At 39.7% G+C, this 15322-nt stretch overlaps 2 annotated features.

Moving 5' to 3' along the window:
• Positions 1087-1136: an enhancer, noted in NCBI's record as "active region_1925". NCBI's record gives its function as "activates an Ori minimal core promoter by ATAC-STARR-seq in GM12878 lymphoblastoid cells {active_cell/tissue: GM12878}" and the evidence as "EXISTENCE:reporter gene assay evidence [ECO:0000049][PMID:35858748]".
• Positions 14781-14830: an enhancer, noted in NCBI's record as "active region_1924". NCBI's record gives its function as "activates an Ori minimal core promoter by ATAC-STARR-seq in GM12878 lymphoblastoid cells {active_cell/tissue: GM12878}" and the evidence as "EXISTENCE:reporter gene assay evidence [ECO:0000049][PMID:35858748]".

Raw genomic sequence — 15322 nt, 5'->3', positions numbered from 1 at the left:
GAGCACACGTTAAAAAGTCCAAAGCACACATTAAAAAGTCCGAAGCACACAAGAAAATAATTCGTTATGAGGAAAAGCAAATTTAAAAAGGAAAACTAAAGCTCTCAAGCACTTAAAATAGTAGGTTGACAATATAATTTTTATATTTAAAATTACTAAAAACATAAAGAAAACAAAAAGCAAGATTTTAGAAAATCGAATTTTTGTAGATTAAGCATATAATCACTAAAATTAGAAACTCACTAAATATTTTGCCCTAATGGAAATTCTGTCACATACTACAAAATGGATGAACCTTGAGAACATCATACTGAGTGAAATAAGCCAGTCACAAAAGGACAAATACTGTATGATTCCACTTAAATCAAATATCTAGAGTAGTTAAAATCACAGAAACAGAAAGTAGAATGGTAGTTGCTAGGAACTGGGAAAGGGAGAAATGGAAAGTTGTTTGATAGGTTTAGAGTTTCAGTTTTTGCAAGATGAAAAAGTTGTAGTGATCTGTTACACAATAATATGAATATAGTTAACACTACTGAACTGTACACTTCATGGCCAAGAGGGTAACTTTATATTATGTGTTTTTTAACAAAATTAAAATTTTTTTTAATTTTAGAAAAACCTCAATAAGCACTGCCACCAAGATAGAGTTGATATATTTTTTCTATTCTTCTCACTAAGTAAAACCACAAAAACCTCTAGACATTATATATCACTATATATAGTATGTATAATTATATGTAATTTATATATACACAAAAGAAGAAAGGTGGGCAGAAGAAGACAGACAGGCTAGGGACCTGAGGACCCAAGGAATGACTAGATGGTAAGTTTCCTGAGTTTTCTTCTTGCTTCATATACCCCAAACTTGGAGCTGAAGAAGCCAGCAACCCAAAAATGCCAGTGGGAATAGATAACTTACATCTTACAATCACCAACATATAGGTGATATTTAAAGGCACAATAAATGAGATTATTTACATGTGAGCATAGACTGAAAGGGGAAGAGCTAAAGCAGACTGCTGCCCCCAAATAGGATATGAAAAAGGAGTCTGACCAGGAGTGGTGAGTAAGATGGGGGAAGCCACTGTGTGCCAAGATTGCGTATACATCGCCTCATGTCAGAAGTCCTGGCCAGAGCATTTAAGAAGAAAATAAAGGGCATCCAAACTGGAAAGAAGTCAAATTGTTCCTCTTTGCAGATGACATGATTTTATTTACAATAGCTACAAAAAAAAAAAAAAAAAACAACCTAGGAATAAATTTAACCAAGGAGGTAAAAAACCTCTACAAGGAAAACTGCAAAACACTGATGACTGCCAAGGGCCGTGGCTCACACCTATAGTTACAGCACTTTGGGGGTCAGGGATGGGAGGATCAATTGAACTCAGGTGTTTGAGACCAGCCTGGGCAACATGGCAAAACCCCATCTCTACCAAAAAAATAGAAAAATTAGCTGAGGGTAGTGGTGCATGCTTGTAGTCCCAGCTACTCAGGAAGTTGAGGTGGGAGGATCAATTGAGCCTGGGATGTCGAGGCTGCAGTGAGCTGAAATTGCATACTGCACTCCAACCTGGGCAACAGAGCAAGACCCTGTCTTAGGAAAAAAAATAAAAAAACACTGATGAAAAAAAATTGAAGAGGATACAAACAAATGGAAAGACATCCCATGCTCATTAATCAGAAGAATTAATGTTGTTAAAATGACTATACAACCCAAAGCAATCTACAGATTCAATGTAATTCCTAACAAAATACCAATGACATTCTTCACAGAAATTAAAAAAAGAAATCTTAAAATTCATATGGAAGTACAAAAATCCTGAATAGCCAAAGCAATCCTGAAGAAGGGGGAAAAATGCAAAGCTGTAGTCATCACACTACCAGACTTCAAAATATACCACAAAGCTATAGAAACCAAAATAGCATGGTGCTGTCATTTAAAAAAAAAAAAAAAAAAAAAAAAAGACACATGGGCTAATGGAACAGGATAAAGAACCCAGAAATTAATCTGCATATCTATAGCTAACTGATTTTTGACAAAGCCTCCAAGAATACTCACTGGGGAAACTACAGTCTCTTCAATAAATGGTGTTAGAAAGACTGAATATACTTATGCAAAAGAATGAAATTAGACCCCCACCTCTCACCCTGTACAAAAATTAACTCAAAATGAATCAAAGACCTAAATGCAAGACCTGAAACCATAAAACTACTAGAAAAAAAAACATAGAGGAAATACTTCTGGACATCAGTTTGAGAAAAAATTGTATGAATAAGACCTCCAAACCACAGGCAACAAAAGCAAAAATTTTGAAATGGGATTATATCAAACTGAAAAGCTTCTTCACAGCAAAGGAAACAATCAACAGAGTGAAAAGACAATATATAGGATGGGAGAAAATATTTGTAAAGTATTCATCTGACAGGGGATTAATATCCAGAATATACAAGGTACTCAAACATCTCAACAGCAAAAATCTCAAAAACCCACAATTTGATTAAAATGGGCAAATGATTCAAGCAGTCCTTTTCCAAAGAAGACATACAAATGACCAACACATATGTGTGTTTTGTTTTTGTTTTTGTTTTTGTTTTGTTTTGAGACAGAGTCTCACCCTATCACCAGGCTGGAGTGCAATGGCGCGATCTCAGCTAACTGCAACCTTCGCCTCCCGGGTAGCTGGGACTACAAGTGTGCACCACCATACCAGGCTAATTTTTGTATTTTTAGCAGGTCCAGGGTTTCACCATGTTGGCCAGGATGGTCTCCATCTCCCGACTTCGTTATCCGCCAGCTTCGGCCTCCCAGAGTGCCAGGATTACAGGCATGAGCCACCGTGTCTGGCTGAAATACGTGTTTAAATGCTCACCATCACTAACCATCAGGGAAATGCAAATCAAAACCACAGTGAGGTATCATCTCACTCCACTTAGCATGGCTATTATCAAAAAGACAAAAAATAAATGTTGGAGAGGATGCAGAGAAAAAGGAACTCTCATATACTGTTGGTGGGAATGTAAATTAGTACAACCACTGTGGAGAACAGCAGGGAGGTTCCTAAAGAAAATACAGATAGAATAAGCCCAGGCACAATGACTCATGCCTGAAATCCTAGCACTTTGGAAGGCCAAGGCAGGAGGATTGCTTGAGGACAGGAGTTTAAGACCAGCCTGGGCAACATAGCAAGACCGCCTCTCTACAAAAAGCTTTCAAAAATTAGCTGGGTGTGGTGGTGCACTGTAGCCCTAGCTACTTGGGAAGCTGAGATGGAAGGATTGCTTGAGCCCAGGAGTTCGAGGCTGTAGTGAGCTATGATCACATCACTGCACTCTAGCTTGGGTGACAGAGTGAGATACCATCCCTAAAAAATAAAAAAAAAGACAAATAAAAGCTACAAATAGAACTGCCTTATGATCCTGCAATCCTACTATGAGGCATTTATGTAAAAGAAAGGAAATCAGTAGATCAAAGAGACATCTGTGTCCCACATTTATTGCAGTACTATTCACAAGAGCCAAGATATGGAATCAAACTATTCACAATAGCCAAGATATGGAATCAAACTAGGTATTCAATAAAAGATAAGTGGATAGAGAAAATGTGGTATATACACACAATGGAATAATATTCAGTCATAAAAAAAGAATAAAATCCTGTCATTCATGGCAACATAGATAGAACTGGAGATCATTATTTTAAGAGAAATAAGCCAGGAACAGAAAGTTAAACATTACATGTTCTCATTCAAATGAGGAAGCTGAAAAACGTTGATCTGAAAGAAGTAAAAAGTAGAGCAGAGGATATTAGAGACTAGAAAGGGTAAGGCAAGGGGAGAGTAAGGAGAGATTTGTTAAAGAATACATAATTACAGCTAGACTAAATTCTAGTGTTCTGTACCACTGTAGGATGATTACAATTAACAACTATATATTATATAGTTTCAAATAGCTAGAAGAAGAATATTGAATGTTCCCAAAACAAAGAAATTACAAATTTTTAAGACGATGGATATTCTAATTATCATGATCTCATCATTACACATCACAATGTACCCCATAAATATTTTTATTTATATTTTTAAAGTAATTCATCATCATGAAAAGGAATTTGGGAAATATAGAAGAATGTAAGAAGAATATGAATCATATCATATACAAAAAAAACACCTCATTTTATCCTCACAACAGCTCTGCGGTTTACGCACTATTATTATTTCCATTTTACAGCTGAAGAAATGGAGGCTTAGAAGCTAAATGACTTGCCCAAGTTTCCACAAGAGAAAGAAGTAGCGCTGGAACAAAATCCAGGTCTAAAAGCAAATTTCACTCTTTCAGTCAGCACACCATAGAAAGAATTGGATTTCCAAAGCCAATGTAATGGATGTGTGTTAATAAGATAGTCTGGAGAAAGAGCCCAGGAAGCTGGAGACCATTACAATTAGAGATCTATGGAATAACTTGGGTATAAGGTAATATGAAGTTAATCAGGGGAATAAAAATGGAGGAAAAGAGCAACCAAAGAAGCATTGACAAAACGCTGAAACTGATTGCACACAGGAAATAAGAAGGTTGTTCAAAGATGAATCCAAAGCTTCAGGCTTGGTGATTGTGGTGCAAAAATGGAAACTTGGTAGTGTGGATAGGAGGTTAGTTTGGGTGACTTTACAAGTTTGGTTATAAATAAGTTGAGAATGAGATGAAAACAGAACAGTAAGTGGAAAAGTGTAGCCAGAGGTATAATTTAAGCTTCCGGTTAATATTCTGACAACTCTGATAATTTAGGAAAGTGGTTGCAGATGGCTTTCTAAAACTCAAATGTAAAAATTAGATAGCAAATCTGCATGTATCCAGCATCCTTAAGGAACAAAATGATTTACATTAATGCATTTTTTAAGATAGCTAAAGTTTACTTCTCCAAGTAACATCTTTTTGTTGTAAACAGTTTTTATGAAAATCTGCCTAGACTGTTTTATTAACATCTCCCTTCTTAAATAGATGACAATAACTTATTTCACCATTTCTTGATGAATTGTGTTTGTATCTTATTAGGTTTTCCCTATCAGGACAACAGTAGTTACTTCTTTTGTCATAGAGTCTGTCTCTTATAATGCCAGTACTTTGTAACCAGCTGTTTCCTTTTTTCTGTGGTGTGAGAATACAATAACCTGGATTCTATATGAATAAGAGTTGGTAGGCTCTGAAAGACCACCCAAGGACTTCTCCTACAGAGCTTTAGGACAAAGGAATGGTGGTGGCCACCTTAGCAGATACGCTCTTATTTACTTACTGTTTCTCCTGGCCAGGGAATCTGAATGTCTACAATTTCTGGAAGTCCGGGGCAATTTCTGTAATAATTTTACAGGCACAACTTTTGGGCTCAGTTTTTGTACATATTGCCATACCAGCCCTGTTGCCAAGGGAGGAATGGGGATGGAAAAGTGACTAGAACCACTCTTCATTTGTCCAATATCCAAATGAAATAATCAAACCTTATCTCTTTGGGTCACTCTTAGTCATTTAAACCATTTTTAATATTAAATATTTAAACAAAATGTTTCTAGGTCTTCTAGCCTTCTGAGGTCACCCTTTCCTTCAACATTTAAATAAAATACCTCCCGCACCTTCCCACACCCAGTTGGAGACCTCCATCTGTGAGGATTGCTGGATGGGTGGGAAGGGAGCAGTGCTTATATTCTGCTGGTAGCCTCTCATCCATGTTGCTGCTCCCATATAATTTCCAGTCCCTGTTATCACCTCACTTTCTAGAACCATGTTTCTCTCCATGCTGCTTCATCAGAAGCATGGACCCAGCCATCAAAAGAACACCAACACAAGCCTGACGATTTGAGGATAAGGGCAGGAGACTACAGCAGAGGACAGACTAGGAAACAGATTAAAATTGAGTTATTGGCTGGGCGTGGTGGCTCACGCCTGTAATCCCAGCACATTGGGACGCCAAGGCAGGTGGATCTCCTGAGGTCAGGAGTTCAAGACCAGCCTGGCCAACATGGTGAGACCCCCATCTCTACTAAAAATACAAAAATTAGCTAGGCATTGTAGCACGTGCCTGTAATCCCAGCTACTCGGGAGGCTGAGGCAGGAGAATCACTTGAATCCAGGAGGTGGAGGCTGCAGAGATCCGAGATAGCGCCATTGCACTCCAGCCTGGGTAACAGAGTGAGATTCCATCTCAAAAATAAACAAACAAATAAATAAATAAAAGTTATTTAAATCACTGTCCTCAAATTCCTTTGGTCATCCCTGCACAGGAACTTTCTCTTTGGGTACTATTTTCCTTAGGCCCCAGCATGTACCCTTCCCGGGAGCCTACTGGGTCTCACTCTCCTTTTCTCCAGGTTCCAGACCCCCAAATCTAGTCACATGAGTCAATAGCTAAAATTTCAGGATTTCTGCAAGTTAGCTGTTAAGCATCCCGTCAGTAACTAAATGCTGATATTTAAATAAATTATATATTTTTAAAAGGGTAGTAAGTACTCAAATGCATCACTTCTTAATTATTTTACTATCCTTTACTATTCTATGCTCTTGAGAGGATTTACATCTACTGCACACACATAGAGGAAACACTATATAATGGTGCACATCTTTTCCTAACTCAGTGACTTGATGGAAATGCTACCACAGAAATGGACAAGTGCTACAAATCAGAGTTTTAGAGTACTTTGTATTGTTTGGTTGTTGTTGTTATTGGAGAGGTGATTGTTAAACGTTTACCAGCACAAAACTCCCCCACTCTTCCAGGAAAAAACTGAAACACACCTGTCACTCCAGACTCCAGTACACAGACCAATTTAAACTATTTTTACTCACAGTATATCTCTTTTCAGAACATGCTATGGGGCCTAGATCTGAACAAAGTGGCCCGTTAAGGAGTTTGTCTAAACCCAATAGCCTTCTACTTCTCAGATGAGTTTTACCAACATCCCTAAAATTTGAAACAGCTGCCATGGTTTTTTTCAAATAATCCATTTACTAATCTTTGCGTTTTCCTCTGTTTTCTTCAAAAGCATATATTGAACACAATATTCAGTGTTAAGATGCCTCATGAGAAGCTGGGGTGAAAGAAGAGGGTAGAGAAGTGTGTTGCAACTTTGGAAAAACTGAGTCTCCCTCAAAGAAGGGGGTTAGGAGGGTTAGAGTTAGAGTTGTTGTTGAAGAAAAACTCCCAAAAACAAAGCTAGTGGAAACTCTTTCTCTCTGAGGGGGATAATAAAAGTGAGGGGAGCACCCCTTCCATTGTTCATGAGTCATTTCCTGTTTTAATTCTTCCTGTTTGTCCTTGGTTTTTCCACAGTAAATGTCGACTCCACCTTTCACTCTTACCTCCCCTCCTGGGTCATGATGATCACGGCCCAGTATTGCGTGAACATGTTGGTGGCCTGAAAGCACTCTGAGGATGAAAACTGTTAGGGAGCCAGAAATGACTTCTAAATCTGCAAACTGGTCTGAACTGTTTCTTCCTTCTTTGATTTTATTTCTCTTTCCTTCTTTTTTCCTTCCTTCCTCATGATCTTCCCCCACGCCTCCCTTTCTATCCTTTCTTTCCTTCTTTTGAGTGTTGCTTTCAGTGCTTTAAATGTTTCTCCATTGGGAATTGCTACTACAAGGACAGGAAGTAAGGTTTTGAGCACAAGATTTTGACATTGGTCCACCAGCAGCATGAGAAAGAGACAAATAAGAGAAAGGAGCAAAACGGTGTTCCTTTGAAAGCGGAACCCTAAAAATGAAACTTCTTAGCCTTGTTTACCCTTATCCAAATAACTTCTGAGTAACTACCTCTGAGAATAATAATAGCTATCCTTGGTGTGGCTGCTTTCTTCTGAAGTGTTCAAATAACTAAAAAGAGCAGGAACTTTGTCGTGGGGCGCTCTGAGAGTAACGCTGGCCACTCCTTGCTGGCTGGCTGGCTGGCCCTGTGTGCTTTGCACCCCCTCTTCCAGCAGTCTCCCTGGCACAGTTTGACAGTCAGTAGCCAGCATCATTGTGATTGGCCAGCAACTGCGCTGGACCAGTTGCTAAATATTTTTTAGTCAACTTTGATTAAATTAAATAGTGTCTGTAAAAAGCCTATCACAGAGCCTGCCTGGCATATAGTAGTGGGTGTTTAAACATTTTTAGTTCTAACAAATTTTTCCTACCCACCCACCTTCAAACCTCATTATCAACACAGTTCTGTTGGGAAGCAGGGAAAAAAAGTATTATTATTATTCTTATGTGACACACTTACATAAAGGAAAATTTAGGTGCAGAGGTGAATGGACTAAGAACACAGTCGTGAGTCAGAGGTACCAGTGCTTGAACAAGACTCCCCATGCCAACTCAGAGCATTAACCAAAAGACTCAGGACTCTGGTAATCAATTAACAGTTTCAAAGTGGAACGAGCACTAACTTTGGAGTCAGAAAAAATCTGGGTTTAGATTTTTCTGCCACTTACCATGAGACCTTGAACAAATCACTTGACCTCTCTAAGCCTGTTTTCCCATGTGTAAAATGGGACCAATATACCTAAACGATTACGTGAGATAATGCATGTGTAAAAGGATTTAAAATGAGATTCTTTCTTGTTTAGTTTGAGCCCAGGCTCCAAAAATCAGTTAGCCTTGGTGTGGTTGCTTTCAAAACAAAACAAAACAATAGATGCTAAGCTCTCCCCACATTACAAAGCTTGCCCACTTTTTCAGGGATTGACAAAGGAGATGACCAAAAGCTGGCTTTGTGGCTCTTGGCACATCACCCATATCAGGAGTCGAAGTTGAAGAGAAGGAGGGGAGAGGATTTCTCCATAAAGAGTCATTGGAATGCTGTGCTACTATGGGGAAGGGGGGGCGCCCTTCCATGGGGAAGGGAGACTTTCCCTTCACTTCAAGCCAGCTGAATGAGCTTCAACAGGACCATAAGTGGAAGATCACTCAGAGTGACATTTGTCCTCTGGAGTTTGGCATATATAAGGAATGTGAAGACAGGCTGTTGATAGATGTGCCTGAGGCCACACAGCAGAGAAAGAATGAGGACTGACCATCTACAGATGGTAGGAAAACAATGCAGAAGTGTTTCCCAAGACCACACATAGACTTTCCAAGTCAGAGTTGGCCAGGAGTCTGTTTGAAAGCTCATTATAGAGTGATAACCATAACCAACTCTGGGAAGCTCAGTCCCGGAAGTTGAAGTGAAAACCAGCCAGTCACATAAGAAGCACCACCTACCTCACAGGAATTACAGTTAAAAGTTCCCAGCAAAGGAATCTTTGAAGAACCTAAAATATACCCCATGGGAAAACTAGCCAGCAATTGTACATCTGCTCCATTCCTGGTCACAAAGGCATATAAGCTGCACTTAAGCCTCTATTCCACATCCTTTCCTGACATGGCTCCCATGGTCACCTCTGGCTCCAAATTCCTGATTCAGTTGAATTAGTTCAGATTACAGGTCATTTGACCCCTTGTGGGTGTTTCCTTATTTGTTACCACCTTAAACCTAGGCAAGGCCCAGCATCCTTGCCATAATTTTCACCTAAACAGCCCGATGTACACAAGGCTGCTGCATGGATGGAACATTCTGGTTATACTGAATGTTTTTGAAAGAGGCATTGGTTTACACTGAAGCAACACAAAGTGGCAACTATCATTTTATCTTCCCATCAAGAATTTCCACCTCCTTTCTTCTCATTAAAGACCCTTAGCCCCAGGCAAAAACAGAGGTACATGACCTGTGTGGGATAATCATGGTGCTCTATTTCCCTGGCATTGACAAGGGATGGACATGTAATCCAAGCCGGGACAATTATAACACATCCTTGGAATTGTTATATGGATACTTAGAGAAAAAAGCTCTCTATGGTTGCTGAGCTGAGTCTGGCTGCAACCATGTCTCCTTTCTGTCTCTTTCACATGGCAAAGTCCTTTCTGTCATAGGAAAATGTGAGGTCAACATGGAAAGGGAAACAGAGTTAAGCAGAGATGAGAAAGATAGGAAAGGAAAGGATGGAGTGAGGGAGAGAAAGAGATTTGGCAGCGTTAATTCAAGTTTCTGTACGGTGTCTGCCGCTTTAGTTTCTATAATTCTTCCTTGGATGCAGCAAACAATCCTGGAATCTTTCCAAATGTTGTGAGCCACTAAGATCCCTTTTTTGTATAAGCTTCTTGGAACTGGGTTTATGTTACTTTCAAACACCAGAAACCTCAATAATACAGCAAAAAGTTTCCAATTAAACGTTGGGTATCTCTAACCTTAAAAGCCCCTTTTTCCATTCTATCCCCAGGGATTTTCACTCCATGTACCTCTCTGGTTTTATACCCTCTTAAGGCTTTGCTCCTTCCTCCTTCCCTTTCCTGTTTCCTCCTAGGATCAAAACCAAATTCCTTCCTTCCTCTGCTTATGCAGAACAATTCAGCCATTTTTTAAAAACTCTATTGGTTCCTGAAGTCCATGGCCACATCTTTTGCCATGAGTGGTTTATCAGGATATTTTCCCAAAGACAGTTCAATACAAGAAAAAGTCTTGAGCATTGTATTGGCTATTAGAGAAAAAAATCCAATCCATACAGTCTTTCTCTAACAAGTTTTTGGATAGTTGGTCAGGTAAATTATTTAAGTTTTCTCACCTATAAAGTTACATTTTAGAGTTAAAAAGTCTGTATAGATAAGCTAACCCAAGCCCTTTAATAAGATTAGAGAAGGTAAGTAGCTTGTCATGTACTATAAAGAAGTTAGTAGTAATGTCATGATTAGGACATTGGTGCCGAATTTTGGTCCAGGGCCTCAAGACCCCAGAAAAAAAGAACAAGCCTTTATGACTTGACTATTGTCATAATTTAGGTTGATTTCAGTTTGGAAACTTAGTATCCAAAAGAGATCTCCAAGCTTCAGTCCCTCAACTATAACATGGTAAAAAATAGATCACCAGTTCTCAAACACTTTTAGATATGGAATCTTTTCTTTTTATTTTATTTTATTTATTATTATTATTATTTTGAGACAGAGTCTTGCTGTTATCAGCCCAGGCTGGAGTGCAATGGTGTGATCTCAGCTCATCACAACCTCTACCTCCTGGGTTCCAGCAATTCTCCTGCCTCAGCCTCCCGAGTAGCTGAGATTACAGGCGCGTGCCACCACACCTGGCTAATTTTTGTATTTTTTTGTAGAGATGGAGTTTCACCATGTTGGCCAGGCTGGTCTCAAACTCCTGACCTCTGGTGATCCACCCGCCTCGGCCTCCCAAAGTGCTGGATTACAGGTGTGAGCCACCTTTTATTTAAGTGAAATCTTATACTGATGGGAAATAAAAATAAAATAATGGTAATAATAAACGTGTTAGCTCAGATCCTCCAGGAAGCAGATGCCAAAGATTTATTGGGGGAGATGGCTGTGAAGGAAAAAGAAGATAGAGATGGAGATGATAGGGAAACTCCTTAGACCATGTAGATGCGAACCCTGGGAAAAAGAGAGGAAAGGAAGAAGGATTAAGTAAGAATAGTCTCAGACTTCTGCACTGTTCTAAGATAGTTTCAGGCCAGGTGCAGTGGCTCACGCCTGTAAGTAATCACAGCACTTTGGGAGGCCAAGACAGAAGGATCACTTGAGCTCAGGAGTTCCAGACCAGCCTGGGTTACACAGTGAGACCTCATCTCTACTAAAATTCAAAAAAAATAGCAGGGCATGGTGGCACATGCCTATAGTGCCAGCTACTCAAGGGGCGGTGCAGCAGGGTGAGTGGGGGCTGGCAGTGCTGAGGTGGGAGGATCGCTTCAGCCTGGAACGTCAAGGTTGCAGTGAGTCCTGATCATGCCACTGCACTCCAGCATGGGTGACAGAGTGAGACTCTGACTCAAAAAAATAAAAGTGTCAGCCAGGCTGATGGGGAGTCCTCAAGTCAAAGTCACCCATCAGAAGAGTCTGCATCTTGCAGAAAAAGGTCTGCATTCACATTTGTACCACATTTAATCATTGGTTAGGAGCAGCCCATTAAAAGTCTGGCTTCAGTGGAAATACAAGGTAGAGTCAGAGAACAGCTGCTGGAGTCACCAATCAACTGCCCAAAATAAAAGGCCTGACATGTACTTTCATGGCTGCTTCAATTTAAAATATCTTTTAATTTTTTAAGTAGAAGGAAGGGAGGAAAAAATTGAAATAGTCACCGAATATTCCAAATTTGGTGAAACTATAAATTCTTATAACCAAGAAGCTCACTAAATCCCAATCATAAGAAATTTAAGAGAAGTATGCCAAGGAACATCATAATCAAATTACTTAAAACCATTAATAAAAACAAAAATTTAAAAGCAGACAGAGAAAAAAGACACAATATGTACAAAGGAAGAAAGGTAAAAATGAAAGCAGACTTCTTGGCTGGGCGCGGTGGCTCACGCCTGTAATCCCAGCACTTTGGAAGGCCAAGGTGGGTGGATCACCTGAGGTCAGGAGTTCAAGGCCAGCCTGGCCAACATGGCGAAACTCCATCTCTACTAAAAATACAAAAATTAGCCGGGCATGGTGGGGGGCACTTGTAATGTCAGCTACTAGGGAGGATTAGGCTGGAGAATCACTTGAGCCTGGGAGGGGGAGGTTGCAGTGAGCTGAGATCAGGCCATTGCACTCCAGCCTGGGCGACAAGAGCGAAACTCAGTCTTGGGGGAAAAAAAAAAAAAAAGAGACTTCTCAATGCAAGCCAGAAGACACTGGAGCAACATCTTAAAAGCAAGGAGGGAAACACACACACACACACACACACCTGTCAACATAAAATCCTATACTCAGTGAAAATAACCTTAAAAAAAAAGGTAAAATAAAGACTTTTGTAGACATACAGAAGCTGAAAGAATTCACCACAAGCATATCAGCGCTGTAAGAAATGTTACAGGAAGCCTTTCAGGAAGAATGAAAGTGATCACAAATGGTTTTATCAGAGGAGGTGGCACAGCTACCACTGAGCCTTTTCCTTACCCCTCTCCTGAGGTGCTCCCAGTGGGAACTTTGGAGATGCCTAAGGATGCCTAAAAACCACCTCAAGTTATTTCTAATGGTCTTTCCAGTTCTTGCCTTTCAAAATGACTTAATTCTGGATTGTATATTTTCTCTTGGGCATTTTGCCTATAACAGAATGAACACCCATCCAGTAATGATGAGTTAAGAGTCGTGAATGAGTTATGGTTTCATGATGCAAAGAGTCAGGAATCATAACTTAATGAGATGATAGTTCAGAAATTGTCCTTTTTTCCAGTGCTAGTGATAAATATCAAGTATTGTTTTGATCATCAGCAATCAGGGATGTGGCAGAGGAATTTCAAAGGGGAAGAATTTGTGCTAGAACTCAGAGTCAGGCAAAACTGATAGTACGAATCAGGGCGTATAGTAGTTGAAAGCATACTGAAGTTGACTATTGGGAAATTGAGGGCTAGGCCAGCTCCACACAGTTGCGCAAGTTTGAGACTCATTCTTCCCTCTGGACCTCAGTTTCTTCATATTGGGATGTTAGCTAAATGACTCCAAAAACCCTTCCAAGTCTAACCACCTGTGATTCTACAAGTGTGACTGAATTCAGGCTAGTCTTATACTGCCTCCGTCTACCTCACTCTTCTTCATCTGACTAGTTACCAGCAGGGAAATCCCTCCAACCCCAAAATAACCATTATTTTCATAATTCAACTATTAAAATGAATAAATTTTAAGTTTGAAAATCTCTCTTCAAACTGTATATATTGTATAATGTCATTGAAAAGGCAAAACTATAATGACGGAGAAGTCATCAGTGGTTGCCAGAGTTGCAGGTGGGGAGAGAGGATGACTACAAATTGGTAGCACAAGGGAATTTTTGAGGGTGATGAAACTGTTCTGCATCTTGATTGTGAGGGTGGTCACAGGACTATATGCATTTGCAAAAATCCATGAAACTATATACCACAAAGAATAAGTTTTACTGTATGTAAATTTAAAACTAACTAAATAATTTTTTAAAATAGGGCAACAGCTTTGGTAGTGATTTACATCCATGTTTAAGTGTGCATCATTTTAATATATTCTAGATAATTTTCCAGGTATTAAATTTAACTTCTTATTTGAATATCTAGCCTCTTAAAAGTGTATAAATTATTAGCATACACTTTAAACCTATATAATGTATGTTTTAAAATAAATACATTGTTTTCAAAATATGGCAGTTATAGTCTTAAGAGACTTTCTAAAAACAGATTTATTGAGGCATAATTCCCATACCATGAAATCATTGGTGTGAAGTATTCAGTTCAACGATATTTAGTAAATGTATCCAGTTGGACAACCATCACCACAGTCTAATATTAGAACATTTCACCATCCCAAAAAGATCCCTCATGCCCATTTTCAGTTTAGGAGACTCATAAAAGTAGAAGAGCAGTCAATCTGCTAGTAAATTTGCTAACACAGAATCACGACATTTTTAGTGTCGGAAAGCTCTTAAGGCCACCTTAAACTCCCATCACCTGTTTAAATGCCTCTGTAACACGTCTGATGGGTAGTTACCCAGCCTAGCTAGACAACGTCCGGTGATATCAGCGACTGTCTTGTTTAACACTCATTTCATCCTCGGCCAGATCTATTTATTACACAGTTATTCCTCACTTTGAAGCACTGAGGCTTTATATGAGTAATCCCCCATACACTCTGAGAACTACATTAGTATCCAAGAAAGGTGGCAGGAAATGTTTAAAAGGAATTATTTTTGAGCATTTGAGGTTCAAACAGAAAGCTGATATAAGTAAAAGAAGCCTGCCAGCTTTAAAGCAGAAGCAAAGGCCAAGGGAATTGAGTACAGCATTCAAAGATGGGCTGGCACTGGTGGATGGCTATGGAGCATGTTCTGGGTAAAGGACAAAGAGCAACAGAGTAAAAAGTTAGGAGACATCAATGGGAAAGTCCAAGGGACCGCATAAAACCGTTCAAGGCAGCACTTTGATATCAACCGTGTCAAGAGGCCCTATCGGTAAAGTAGACCAAAATCACTAAAACTAAGATTATTTACATTTTGGTATATAATATCTTATTCTGGCCCGGCATGGTGGCTTACGCCTGTAATCCCAGCACTTTGGGAGGCCGAGGTGGGTGGATAACTTGAGGTCAGGAGTTCGAGACCAGCCTGGCCAACATGGTGAAACCCCATTTCTACTAAAAACACAAAAATTAGCCAGGCATGGTGGCGCATGCCTGTAGTCCCAGCTACTCGGGAGGCTGAGGCATGAGAATCGCTTGAACCTGGGAGGCAGAGGTTGCAGTCAGCCAAGATCACACCACTGCACTCCACCCTGGGCGATAGAGTGAGATGCTGTCT

Source organism: Homo sapiens, chromosome 1, assembly GCF_000001405.40.
Source record: "Homo sapiens chromosome 1, GRCh38.p14 Primary Assembly".
In the NCBI taxonomy this organism is placed as follows: Eukaryota; Metazoa; Chordata; class Mammalia; order Primates; family Hominidae; genus Homo; species Homo sapiens.
This window is presented reverse-complemented; position numbering and strand designations above follow the sequence as displayed.